The sequence below is a fragment of the Homo sapiens genome, chromosome 13 (assembly GCF_000001405.40).
Source record: "Homo sapiens chromosome 13, GRCh38.p14 Primary Assembly".
In the NCBI taxonomy this organism is placed as follows: domain Eukaryota; kingdom Metazoa; phylum Chordata; class Mammalia; order Primates; family Hominidae; genus Homo; species Homo sapiens.
In genome coordinates, this window is record NC_000013.11 from 100,101,322 (window position 1) to 100,115,751 (window position 14,430).

General features: G+C 40.0%; 1 protein-coding gene across 33 annotated transcripts in view; it reads left to right on the forward strand.

Annotated features, from left to right (window-relative positions):
- PCCA (propionyl-CoA carboxylase subunit alpha) overlaps positions 1–14,430 on the forward strand; it is a 441,343-nt gene that overhangs the window by 12,229 nt on the left and 414,684 nt on the right. For 25 of the 33 annotated variants that reach the window (NR_148030.2, NR_148027.2, NR_148028.2 and 22 more), the window contains exons 2-4: positions 1,562–1,639; positions 10,520–10,567; positions 10,672–10,740. Coding sequence is in view for 24 of the 33 variants with exons in the window: in XM_017020609.2 (XP_016876098.1) it covers positions 1,562–1,639; positions 10,520–10,567; positions 10,672–10,740 (195 nt within the window). In the remaining 9 variants the exon portion in view is untranslated. The remainder of the gene's footprint in view (positions 1–1,561; positions 1,640–10,519; positions 10,568–10,671; positions 10,741–14,430) is intronic. The other 8 variants (NR_148029.2, NM_001127692.3, NM_001352607.2 and 5 more) reach the window with 1 other exon arrangement.

The window sequence follows — 14,430 nt, forward strand, 5'->3', positions numbered from 1 at the left end:
ATTACAGCCTCAGCCTGTGACCTTTGAAAAGTTAAAGTCCTTGGGACTCAACTTTGTCATAAAATTGGGGATAATACTCTTGTAACTCACAGTTATGCTTGAAGGAATATATGAGAGATAGTCTTGATCTTTAATAGGGACACAGTAATAATTTCCCGTTCACAGTTCCTTCTTGTTCTTGGTCTTTTACTTGGTAAAGGTTTTATTTTATAAACTATATCTTTTTGTATCTTTTACCTCCACTTTTATACAGAGATTACATTTTTTAAATTAATTAAATAATTAATTAATTTTTTCTGAGGAGTTTCGCTCTTGTTGCCCAGGCTGGAGTGCAATGGCAGGATCTAGGCTCACAGCAACCTCCACCTCCTGGGTTCAAGCAATTCTACCTCAGCCTCCTGAGTAGCTGGGACTACAGGTGTGTGCCACCATGCCCCGCTAATTTTTTTGTGTGTGTTTTTAGTAGAGACGGGATTTCGCCATTTTGGCCAGTCTGGTCGCAAACTCCTGACCTCAGGTGATCCACCTGCCTTGACCTCCCAAAGTGCTAGGATTACAGGCATGAGCCATGGTGCCCGACTCTTTAAAAAATAGTTGTACAAATTTTTCAGTTCATTTAAAAATGTTGCTATAAGAACATTTTGTTTCTTATTTGAGTCGTTATCATCTTAGAAAGTTCTAAGAGGTGGTACCTGTTGGTTGCCTTTTGCTGGTTTTTTTCCTCCATTTTTTTCCTTCTAGCTTTAACAGTGACTACTGGGAAGTTCTCTCTCTGTCTCTGTCTGTCTCTCTGTATCTCTCTATCTCTTTTCTTTTTCTCCTTTCTTTTCTCTCTTTTCAGTGGGGTCTTGCTCTGTTGCCTAGGCTGGAGTACAGTGGTGTGATCTTGGCTCACTGCCACCTCAAACTCTGGGGCTCAAGTAATACTCCCACCTCTGCCTCCTGAGTAGCTGGGATTCCAGGCTGTACCACCGTGCCTGGCTTAGTCACTTTTCTTAATGTTTTTAAGCATTAAGATACGCTTTCTTCACAAACAGTTCAATGAATGAGAAATATCCTTGATTACTGATATTGCTTTTTCATATTTATCAGCCAAACCACTTCTGTACCAGAAAATGTGAAATAAGAAATCATGCTGAAGACATCAGCAAATATAAAAAGAATATTTTATTATGTTCTGGCCACTGTTAAATTTGAAGCTCCTTGAGACCAAGACTCTCGTTTTGTGTTTTTAAAAGTTCTGTGTGGTCTGTGACATTTCTGACCCTGCTCTATCCTTTTGAATGATCAGAAAGGCTTTCTTCAAATTTGCTTGGCCCCTCGACAATTCTTGTTTTGCTTTTCTGGAGATCGTTTTGATGCTTTTGGTTTCTCTTACATACCAAGGGGCTGTGTCTGTAGATATGATTTCCCTTTTGTAATTATATTTATGGTATATTGCCTAGAACTACATTTATTGATCAGACACGTTCGCTAGAACCTAACTGGAAGAAATATCCTGAAAAAATGTTCTAAAGCCCATCAAGTATTTGCAATTTATTTTGCTTTCCTTTTTTTGTAGCATGTTCTGTACTATTCAAGACAGTGCTTAATGGTGTCCCGTAATCTTGGTTCAGTGGGATATGATCCTAATGAAAAAGTAAGTATTTAAAAGATATTCTCAACAACTAAATTAAACTTATCATGGTTTTACTTTCTCGTCTCCACACTGTGTTCAGTGGACAGATGAGATTTTGTTAAGGCTGTGTGGTCATTGATCACTCTAGCATTGTGTGTTTCTATAGGTGCTCAGTCTTTAGGTATTCTGTTTTTCATTGTGGGCCACAGTCTGAATCTTTTTAATTTTGTATTTATATCTTTAGCAAAAATTGAATGCATTTACAATGTGTTTCCTTTGTTTCCAGCAGAATAACTAAGAAAACATTTGTTCTTAAAGACTGGGCATTTGAGAGATTTAATTAAACTATTGAGTTTTTCTTTCATTTACTTAATACTTTTTTTTTTTTTTGAGATGGAGTCATGCTCTATCACCCAGGCTGGAGTGCAGTGGTGTGATCTAGGCTCACTGCAACCTACGCCTCTGGGGTTCAAACAATTCTCCCACCTCAGCCTCCTGAGTAGCTGGGATTACAGGCGCCCACCACTGCACCTGGCTAACATTTATATTTTTAGTAGAGATGGGGTTTCACCATGTTGGCCAGGATGGTCTCGAACTCCTGACCTCAGGTGATCCACCTGCCTCAGCCTCCCAAAGTGCTGGGATTTCAGGCATGAGCCACCGTGCACCTGGCCTCATTTACTTAATATTTATATTATTTATTTATTTATTTGTGAGATGGAGTCTTGCTCTTTTGCCCAGGCTGGAGTACAGTGGTGTGATCTTAGCTCACTGCAACCTCCGCCTCCCGGCTTCAAGAGATTCTCCTGTCTCAGCCTCCTGAGTAGCTGGGATTACAGGTGCGCCCCACCACGCCCGTCTAATTTTTGTGTTTGTAGTAGAGACAGGGTTTCACCATGTTGGCCAGGCTGGTCTCAAACTCCTGACCTCAGGTCATCCGCCTGCCTCGAGCTCCCAAAGTGCTGGGATTACAGGCGTGAGCCACTGTGCCCGGCCTATATGATTCATTTAGATTGAAGGTAATTTTGTGTATTATAAATTTCAGGACAAGGGGTTTCTAATTAAAATGCTATTACAATAATGTTTGAGCCTTGTAGGGACTAGAAGAAGTGATTGGAAATAAAATATGGTTTCATGCCTTCATGGCAATGAAGGCATCGAAGTGGGCGGGAGTTTTGGTTAAGAAGGGATTGTTCAAGGTGAGTGTCATCAAAATACAACTGACAGGAATGATTATTTGAGAATGACATGTCTGAGGTATCTTCTGAATCATGTGCTGAAGTGCGCAATACTGCTTTCCAGATTCTTTTGAATCTGGAGGCCTGGAGGAAGAAAGAGTCTACATATCTTCAGTTCAGTAGAAATACAATGTGAAACACAGTTGCAGGGTGATATGGTTTGGCTCTGTCCCCATCCAAATCTCATCTCGACCTGTAATCCCCATGTGTTGAGGGAGGGAGGTGATTGGATCATGGGGGCAGTTTCTTCCATGTTTTTCTCATGACAGTGAGTTGGTTCTCACAGGATCTTAAGATCTTACAAGTGTTTGGAAGTTCCTCCTTTGCACTACTCTCCCCTGCTGCCTTGTGAAGAAGGGTCCTGCTTTCCTTCTGCCATGATTGTAAGTTTCCTGAAGTCTCCCCAGCCATGCGGAACTGGGAGTCAATTAAACCTTTGTTTATAAATTACCTAGTCTTGGGTAGTATCTTCATAGCAATGTAAAAACCAATTAATACACAGGGCAAATGTGATTTTCAATTTTCCTTTTTATTTTTTATTTTTGAGATGGAGTCTTGCTCTGTCACCCAGGCTGTAGTGCAGTGGTGTGATCTTGGCTCACTGCAACCTCCACCTCCCAGGTTCAAGCAATTCTCTTGCCTCAGCCTCCCGAGTAGCTGGGATTACAGGTGTACGTCACCATGCCCGGCTAATTTTTGTATTTTTAGTAGAGACAGGGTTTCACCATGTTGGGCAGGCTGGTCTCGAACTCCTGACCTCAAATGTCTTCCTGCCTCAGCCTCCCAAAGTGTTGGGATTACAGGCATGAGCCACTGCACTTGGCCAATTTTCAATTTTCTAATAGCCACATTAAAAAAAAGTAAACAGGCAAAATTAATAATATCTCAATATCTAAAATGTTATTTAAGTACATAATCAGTATAAAAAGTATTAACAAGACACCTTAGATTCTTTTTTTTGGGCCCTAAGTCTTCTAAATCCAGTGTATATTTTATACCTCTGGCATATCTCAGTTTGATTAGCCACATTTGAAGAGCCCAATAACCTCATGTGGCCAGTGGCTACTATATTGGATAGTGCAGGTCTATTGAATTAGTTATGATAAACTCCCTGTTATGAAAGCTGTAGTTTAATTTAAAATCTTCATCATAGGTGATATGCTTTGGGGTTCATGTATCCATGTGTTGCATTCCAATCTCGAAGTAATCAGCTATCCTAAGTGGCTACACTCTTAAGAGTAATTAACTAACATTTGTTGAAGAGGACACATTATAGAGGGGTGGAATACTACAAACGGTTCAGCCATCTTTCTCCTTATACACTGGTAGCCTTCCTCATTAGCGTAATAACTGTTAGAAGTGGGCTATCAGCCAGGTGTGATGGCCCACGCCTGTAATCCCAGCACTTTGGGAGTTTGAGGCCAGTGGATTGCTTGAGGTCAGGAACTTGAGACCAGCCTGGCGAAACCCTGTCTCTACCAAAAAAAAAAAAAAAAAAAAAACACCCCACAAAAATTAGCTGGGTGTGGTGGCGTGCACCAGTAGTTCCAGCTACACAGGAAGCTAAGTTGGGAGGATCACTTGAGCCCAGGAGGTCAGGGCTTCAGTGAGCCATGATTGCACCACTGTACTCCAGACTGCTAGGCTAAAGGGCAAGATCCTGTCTCAAAAAAAAAAAAAAAAAAAAAAAAAAAAAAAAAGAAAAGAAAAGGAAAAAAAGAAACGGGCTGTCATTGAGGAAGTTTGTGGTATTCGTCAATATATGTTATTGGCTATTGCTTTAGGGAAATTCTGTGCCTTTGTACTATTAGAATGTAATAATGTAGTTGGCCTTTAATTCTTTACCTTTAAGGATAATACTCGGGCCCGATCCCTAAATGAATAGTTCTGTGTTCAGCCACTTGTCTGGTGGATTCTTGATGGCTTAGTCTGACAGTATGGTTAGCCAAAGCAGAATATTGTTTTTTTTTGCCTATGGTGAGCCTTTCTTGCAGTCTTTTGGAGCCTTACAAAGTACAGGAAGTTAAGATTCCACTGAACTTATCAAGCAGGTTTTATGATTCTTTTTATGTCTTAATAAATGTTTGTATGTGTGGACAGAGTTTGGTCTGGTACTTGCTTTCATTATAACCTCATAGTGAAGTTACAGAAATAGCTAACTGACCTCCCACATTGGTGACCACTGGTAATTACTAAAAATAAATAAATGTATGTAACTGTCTGGGTTTAGCACATTTATTTATTTATTTTTGAGACAGAGTCTCGCTCTGTCACCCAGGCTGGAGTGCAGTGGCATGATCTTGGCTCACTGCAACCTCCACCTTCCGAGTTCAAGCGATTCTCCTGCCTCAGCCTCCCGAGTAGCTGGGATTACAGGCACACACCACCACATCCGGCTAATTTTTTTTTGTATTTTTAGTAGAGATGGAGTTTCACCATGTTGGCCAGGCTGGTCTCGAACTCCTGACCTCAGGTGATCCACCTGTCTCCACCTCCCAAAGTGCTGGCATTGTAGGCATGAGCGACCGTGCCTGGCCCAGGTTTAGCACATTTAAAGAGATACGAGGGATAAAGGTGTAGAAGTGGAATCTCCTTGGAATTCACTTAGCATGTTTCGTCATAAATCCTGAAATCAATTCTGCTCCCTGCTATCTTTGCCATCTCCTTTGCTGTGCCCTTGCCTAAGGTGACTGTGGAGAAACTGTGTTTCCCTCAGTGAGTGATGAATATTCTTTGGCACCTATTCATAGTACAGGTACATGTTCAGACTAAGTTGGTCGCTTCACCCTTCACTTGAGGGCTGCACTTAATCAGACCTTTCTCCTTCCCGGATTCCTGCTGTCCTTGTAACCATTCATTAAATACTGACCTGGTTTGTTTATACCTACTGTCCCAAGTGCAAGTAGACTTGGTCTTTGGTGTAATACATATTTGTTAAATAAATTGATTCTCGTTTGAATCTGTTATTAACTCATTTCTTATTCCACATTTTATCAGTGACTTACATCATGTGCAAATTATCCGGGTGAAATTTAATCATTACTGAAAACGTTATTTTTTTTAACTTGAGTTTTAACAAGCTAACTTGTTGTCTTATGTATGTTCATGAGAATAAGGAAGATTTAACTTATGGTAGCTTGCTTGGATCAAGACCATTAAGTTTCAGTTGGCCTTAAGTTAGTGTGAGCCAGTACAGTACTGTGTTGTTCCTGTCACACTGATGTGAGCTGGCTGGGCTCAGTGGCTTACGCCTACAGTCCCTGCGCTCTGGGAGGCCGAGACACGGGATTCCTTGAGACCGAGAGTTCCATATCAACCTGGGTAACAGAGCAAAACCCCGTCTCTTAAGAAAAAAAAAAGTGATCTTAGGTGTTATTAATAACATAGTGTTTAGAGCTTGCATTGTTATACTCTGATTACATTATATCATGATATTTCTGACATGAATACCTGGATGTGAACTCTCTGACTTTGCCACTAGTGAACTTTGTAAGTGATTTAAGGCAAGTGATTTGGCCTCATCAAGCCTTAGTTTTCTTATTTGTAAAACGGAGATATTATCAGAACTGACTTCGTGGGATTATTATGCTAAATATTGTCATCATAGCCATTACCTGATAGATGAGATAATGCACAGAAGAGATTCATCACAGTGCCTGCTGTATACAAAACGTGTCCTAAGTGTCGGCTGCTTAATGTCCTTAACTGAATTTTGCACATTTGGAAAGCAAGACTCAAAGCCCATGGATAGTGAGTAGCTGGGTGTAAACTCATGCCTGTCCTTTTCCAGAGCTGGTGGACTTACCCATTGTGCTGTATCCTTTCTCAGAAGAGTTGGGCAAGTGACCCAGTGTCCAGAGTTCTGCCGTCATTCCAACAAGTACCCAGTGCAGGGCCAGCTCAGTCCTCTTGGTCTCTGAATGGAGTGTGGTGCTAGCTATGGAGTTAGAGCCTGGGAGAGAGCATCTAAACCTAGGGAAGGGAAAGGAAGAAGGAGGGATAGAGAGAGAATGGGTTAAGAGAAAAATAACAACAGCAAAAAAGATCCTTAGGAAATCTTTTACTTCAGATGACATTATTAGTACAGTTATAGAGCAGCTACTGCCAAAGTTCTTCATTATCTCTTCTGGTACCTGAATTCTCATCTATCTTCAAGGATCCAGGATCCTAATTTATAGTTGTTTTTTCCTGAGTGTCTTCAGGGTGCCTTATGAGTGACTCTCCACATATAGGATCAAGTCCCAGTTCCTTGAATGGCATATGAGTCCTTCCATCATCTGGACTTTTTTTTATCCTAGCTTTATTTGCTACAACTCTCCTAAGCATACCATGCGCTTCAGTCATATTGAGAATTCCTTGTAGTTGCTTAGTGCTACCCTCTTCTTCCAGTGTCACGGCCTTTACACATGCTGTTCATGTGCTCCCTTCTCTGTGTGTAGCATCCTGCACAAAGCCTTATTAGAGCATTTAACACAATTTGTTGTGTTTGTGCCATATTTTACTTTGAAGTTGCCAAATGCACTTGATATTTACCTGTAATTGTTGATGCAGAGGGGCAGTTTTAAGGTTGGGTTTAATTGATTTGTATGCATATTCTTTTATAGGCATAGCCTACCTGGAAGAATATATAGGAGACCAGTAACAGTGGTTGCCTTTTGGGCAGGGACTTGGGTGTCTCTTCAGTGTATCCCCTTTTGTACTTTAAAAATTCTGAATTATATGCATCTATGATTTATTTAGAAGAAAATTTTATGTATGGAAGATTAATTGATATGATTAGTTTTATTGGGTTTTATGCGCTAATTGGTAATACATTAATAGCCCTTAACAGAGAAGATGTGTCAGGTGCAGGTATTTGTTTTGTTATAGCTTTTCCCCAGTTAGACAGATAGGGGCACACTCCTAAATTCATAACAGTCTGGCATGTAGCCCAAAGGGGTGAAGAACAGTAGCCATAGCTAATGCTGAATGAGTATATATTACATGCTAGACATTATTCTAAACACTTTAAGAGTGTTAATTCAAATCATTCTCACAACCTCTTGTGGCAGGTGCTGTTTTTACCCTTATTTTACATACCAGGAAATGAGAGGCAAGAAGGGTGACTTGTTCATAGCAGGACACACAGGAGGAGAACATAGAATGTTGGGAGTTCAGCCTGGGTGGCTTGGCTGCAGACTGACTCGTAATGACCATTCTGCTGCCTGAACAGAAATTAGAATGGGGATTCTTGCTTAATTCTTCCATTGTTATCATGATTTGTTGTATTCGCTGTAACAATTGCTTAATATGTAATTTCTAGGAGTGGTGTTTGTGGTGATTATCAGATGTGGTCTGTTTCACAGTTAATATTAACATCATATTTTAAAACCCATTTAAGAAAGTGTAAACATTGTGTTCTCAGGATATGCTTACTGTTTAAGAGGGGTTTACCATGACCATTTAAATACAGAAAAGTAGATGATTATGCATTCTCAGACCTGAGATGTGAGCAAGGCTCTGAGTGGCTTCGAGTTTTATCACATTAGAAGTTTACCTATTTTTAAGGCAGGGGCTTGGCTCGGGTTGGAGGAGTTAAGACATATATGATGTAAAGGTTAAACCAAGACCTAGCAAGCTTTTTTCACTTCTGAGATTCTGGACTTTTTCCTGTATGTTAAAATACTGCTCTAGGCCGGGTGTGGTGGCTCAGGCTTGTAATCCCAGCACTTTGGGAGGCCGAGGCAGGCGGATCACCTGAAGTCAGGAGTTCGAGGCCGGCCTGACCAACATGGGGAAACCCCATCTCTACTAAAAATACAAAGAAATTAGCCGGGCTTGGTGGTGCGCACCTGTAATCCCAGCTATTAGGAGGCTGAGGCAGGAGAATATGTTGAACCTGGGAGACGGAGGTTACTGTGAGCTGAGATCGTACCACTGCACTCCAGCCTGGGCGACAGAGTGAGACTCCATCTCAAAAAACAAACAAACAAACAAACTGCTCTAGGTTATATAAGAGTACTTTTTAAAAGGTCATTTATAACTCTAACTCTTCTTTTAGAAATATAACTGACACTTTTTTTCTGTAGTTCCGTTGAACTTAAAAATAATTCACAAATACAGAAATTACCGTGTGCTAATGTGTATTACATCCAAATTACTTGGAATGGTGTGTTTTGAAAAACGATTAGCTTGTACAATTTTAGAGTAGGAAGAAAACCTTACTAAATAGCTTTCCATTTGAGTGCTACCAGTTTATGTGGAAATCAAGGCCTACAGAGATTGATTTACTTAAAGTTAAATAGGTCATTAGTGGCAAAGCTGGACTTGGGTTTAGGTCTCTAGATAAACACAGGATACACAACTTCTCTACTGTTTGGTCTCAGCTGCTTCAAAATTTGGTGGTTATTCAAACTTAACATTGGATTCAAATGGTGTAATCTGCTTAGTCTGGGCATTTTTGGATATATGCACAATTAGGTACCTATTCTGAGTTACTGAAAATATGCCCTGTCCCAACAGAGATAGCAGATAAATTATACTTACTTAGTATCAGACTTCCCTTTGAAAACAACTCATGACACTTAGAATTTCCCAGAATTTAGAAAATAAATTGTCAAGTAATTTTGGCCAAAGTGTTTTTTTTGTTTATTTATTTATTTATTTTTTGAGACGGAATCTTGCTCTGTCACCCAGGCTGGAGTGCAGTGGCACGATTTTAGCTCACTGCAACCTCCGCCTCCCAGGTTCAAGTGATTCCTGCCTCAGCCTCCCAAGTAGCTGGGATTACTTGGGATTACCAGCACTTGGGATTACGGGCATGCACCATCACGCCGGCTAATTTTTGTATTTAAATTATTTATTTATTTATTTAGAGATGGAGACTCGCTTTGTCACCAGACAGGAGTGCAGTGGCGTGATCTCAGCTCACTGCAGTCTCCGCCTCCCGGGTTCAAGCCATTCTCCTGCCTCAGCCTCCCGAGTAGCTGAGATTAGAGGCGCGTACCACTAGACCCAGCTCCTTTTTTTTTTTTTTTTTTTTTTTTTTGTATTTTTAGTAGAGACAGGGTTTCACCATATTGGTCAGGATGGTCTCGATCTCCTGACCTCGTGATCCACCCACCTTGGCCTCCCAAAGTGCTGGATTACAGGCGTGAGCCACCGTGCCCAGCCTTTTTGTATTTTTAGTAGAGATGGGGTTTTACCGTGTTGGTCAGGCTGGTCTCGAGCTCCTGACCTCGTGATCCACCTGCCTTGGCCTCCCAAAGTGCTGGGATTACAGGCGTGAGCCACTGCACCCGGGCTTGACCAAAGTCTTTTAGTGTCTGAAATATCATTTGAAGATTTTCTTTTGGCTACAGAATATGTAGATACCCCCATTGTGAATACATTAACCTACTATGCTTTAACAAAGTAATTATAGAACCCGATCATATCAGATGAATTTTGTAGTTCCCTGGTTGTAAACGGTTATACTATTTAATAACCTATTTTAATATTACCCTAAGTATTTATAGTACATTTAATATTACTGTAAGTAATATAGTATTTAATGTTACTCTAGGAAGTAATGTTTATTAGGGTTATATTCAGTGTTGATGTTGGAAAAACTTGGTGTTTTTTGGTCTTAAACCATCGGTTTAAAAGTAACAATTTCTAATGAATGTGTTTTTTCTCTCTTCAGACTTTTGATAAAATTCTTGTTGCTAATAGAGGAGAAATTGCATGTCGGGTGAGTAGAATTTTCGTCTTATTTTCCATTTTACTCTGAAATTATTTATTAAACCCCTTTAAGTGTGAATCACTATTAATAGACATTAATATATTTTAAAATAGGTTATTAGAACTTGCAAGAAGATGGGCATTAAGACAGTTGCCATCCACAGTGATGTTGATGCTAGTTCTGTAAGTATATTTTTGCTTTGTTTAAATCAGGACTTAATTTTGGGTCAAGCAGAAAAAGTGAGACATACAGGCTTTTTTTCTTGGCCTGCACAAGATACATTCAAGTTTAAAAACTGTTTACTTGTTCACTGTTGTGTTAAGCAAAACGACAGTATCACAGTATCTTCTATATGTGCCGTAAGTATTTTCTTTTCATAGCTTTAAAAACTTAGACAGAAAAATTGCCAGGCTGATTGCTGGTCACCAAGTAGATTTAAGCAAAGCATGAGAAAATTTGAGTCAAAGATTAATGAAATGTTTACACAGTGCTCCCTTATGAGAGCACTTTCCCCCAGCATAGCTTCAGTATCACTAAGGGAATGCTACAATTGTTTAACCTTTCCTAAATGCTTCAACGTGTTCAGCTGAAAGTTTGACAAAAATGAAAGGTAGGCTAATGCTAATTGGATACAAACAAAAGAAGGTTTAGCATAAAGCAGATATACTTTTATTTGGTACTTTTAACACAGCAGGCCTTTTTTTTTTTTTTTTTTGGGACAGAGTCTTGCTTTGTTGTCCAGGCTGGAGTGCAGTGGTGTGATCTCACCTCACTACAACCTCTGCCTCCTGGGTTCAAGCGATTCTCCCGCCTCAGCCTCCGGAGTAGCTGGGATTACAAGCACCTGCCATCATGCCTGGCTGATTTTTGTATTTTTGTAGAGACAGGGTTTCACCAAGTTGGCCAGGCTGGTGTTGAACTCCTGACCTTAGGTGATCTGCCTGCCCCGGCCTCCCAAAGTGCTGGGATTACAGGCTTGAGCCACCACACCCGGCCCACAGCAGGGATTTTTTTTAGTAGTAATGTTATGAATGAGTAGAAAAAAATCCCATGGGGAAAGAATGTAAATTATTAAATCTTTATGGCATGAAATATAAGTAGTTGAATACTAATGCAAGCATTGTTTCTCATTGTCTCATACTACTTTTGATAATGGGACCCTTTGGTAGGGTCCATCAGTTAATGACAGGGATATGTTCTGAGAAATGCATCGTTAGGTGAATTCAATATTGTGTGACCATCACAGAATGTACTTACACAAACCTTGATGATACAGCCTAGTACACACCTATATAGTATAGCCTATTCCTCCTGTGCTACAAACCTGTGCAGCACGTGACTGTACTAAATACTGTAGGCAATTGTAACACAATGGTAAGTATTTGTGTATATAAGTGTATCTAAACACAGAAAAGGTACAGTAAAAATATAGTATAAAAGATAAAAAATGGTACACTTGTATAGGGCACTTACTGTGAATGGAGCTTGCAGGACTGGAAGCTGGTCTGGATGAGTCAGGGAGTGATCAAAGGCCTAGGACATTACCGTCACTACTATAGACTTCATAAACACTGTATACTTAGGCTACACGACATTTATAGAAAAATAGTTTTCTTTCTTCAATAATAAATTAACCTTAGCATACCATAACTTTTTTAAATTATAAACTTTTAAATTTTGTCTTTACTCTTTGACTCTTTCTTTTTTTTTTTTTTTTGAGACAGAGTCTTGCTCTGTTGGCCAAGCTAGAGTGCAGTGGTGCAGTCTTGGCTCACTGCAACCTCTGTCTCCCGGGTTCAAGCCATTCTCCTGCCTCATCCTCTCCAGTAGCTGGGATTACAGGCATGTGTCACCACGCTCGGCTAATTTTTGTATTTTTAGTAGAGACGGGGTTTCACCATGTTGGCCAGGCTGGTCTTGAACTCCTGACCTCAGGTAATCCACCTGCTTTGGCCTCCCAACGTGCTGGGATTACAAGCGTGAGCCACCACGCCCGGTTTACTCTTTGACTCTTTCATAATAAAACAGCATAAAATGCAAACACTGTATAACTGTACAAAAATGTTTTCTTTATATCCTTATTTTATAAGCTTTTTTCTGTTTTTAAAGTTTTTTATTTTTCATTTATTTTTGACTTTTTGAACTTTTTTGGTAAAAACGAAGACTCAAATGCACACATTAGCCTAGACCTGCAGAGGATCAGGCTCATCAAGACATCAGTAGGCATGGGATCACATCAAGTTAGAAAGCTTCTACACAGCCAAGGAAACAACAAAATGAAGAGACAACCCACAGAATGGGAGAAGATATTTGCAAACTACCCATCTGATGAGGGATTAGTAACTAGAATGTATAAGGAGCTCAAACAACTCTATAGGAAAAAAATCTAGTAATTTGATTAAAAAATGGGCAAAATGGCCAGGTGTGGTGGTTCACACCTGTAATCCCAGCACTTTGGGAGGCCAAGCGGGCAGATCACTTGAGGTCATGAGTTTGAGACCTAGAATAAATAAATGGATGTTTAACCAGCCTGGCTAAGATGGTGAAACCCTGTCTCTACTAAAAATACAAAAATTAGCCGCGTGTGGTGGCACACATCTGTAGTCCCAGCTACTTGGAGACTGGGGCAAGAAGCTTGAACCTGGGAGGTGGAGGTTGCTGTGAGCCAAGATCGTGCCACTGCGCTGTAGCGTGGGCGACCAGGCGAGACTATGTCCAAAGGAAAATAAAAAGGGGCAAAAGATCTGAATAGTCATTTCTCAAAAGAAGACATACAAATCACAAACAGGTATATGTAAAGGTGCTCGACATTACTGATCATTACGGAAATGCAAATCAAAAGTACAATGAGATAAAATCTTACCCCGGTTAAAACGGCTTTTATCCAAAAGACATAACGAGTACTGGCGAGGATGTAGAGAAAGAACCCTCATATGCTGTTGGTGGGAATGTAAATTAATACAACCACTATAAAGAACAGTATGGAGGTTTCTCAAAAAACTAAAACTATCATATGATCCGGCTGCTAGATGTACATCTGCTTCTAGGTGTACACCTAGCACCAGGGAAATCAGTATATGGAGGAGATATCTGCACTCCCATGTTTATTGTAGCATTTTTCACAATAGCCAAGATTTGGAGGCAACTTAAGTATCCATCAACAGATGAATGGATAAAGAAAATGTACATATGTACGGTACCATTCAGCCATAGAAAAGAATGAGATCTTGTCATTTGCAATAGCATGGATGGAACTGGTGGAGGACATGTTAAGTGAAATAAGCCAGGCACAGAAAGACAAGTTTTGCATGTACTCACTCATTTGTGGGAGCTAAAAATGAAAACAATTGGACTCATAGAGAGAGAGTAGAAGGATGGTTACCAGAGGCTTGGCAGGGTGTATGGAGCGGGAGGGGTGGGGATGATTAATGAGTACAAGAATATAGTTAGATGGAATAAATAAGATCTTGTATTTGATAGCACAACAGGGTGACTACAGTCTGCAGTAATTTGTGGTACATTTTAGAATAATTTAGGGAATAGAATTGGGATGCTTGTAACACAAATAAATGAATGATTTAGATGATGGCTACCCCATTTATCCTGATGTGATTATTATACATTGTATGCTTGTATCAAAATATTTCATGTACTCCATAAACATATACACCTCCTGTATACCCACAAAAATAAAAAAAGACATCACTAGGCAAATAGGAATTTTTCAGCTCCATTATTGGAGCTGAAATGTAGATGCAGTACATTACCGACCAAGCTGTCATATGGCGCATGATTGAATTCTGATCTACAGGTAGACTTTTCAGACTTTGCAAAAGTGGTTTCAAAAGAATTGTTGTTAGGTTTTTCTCATT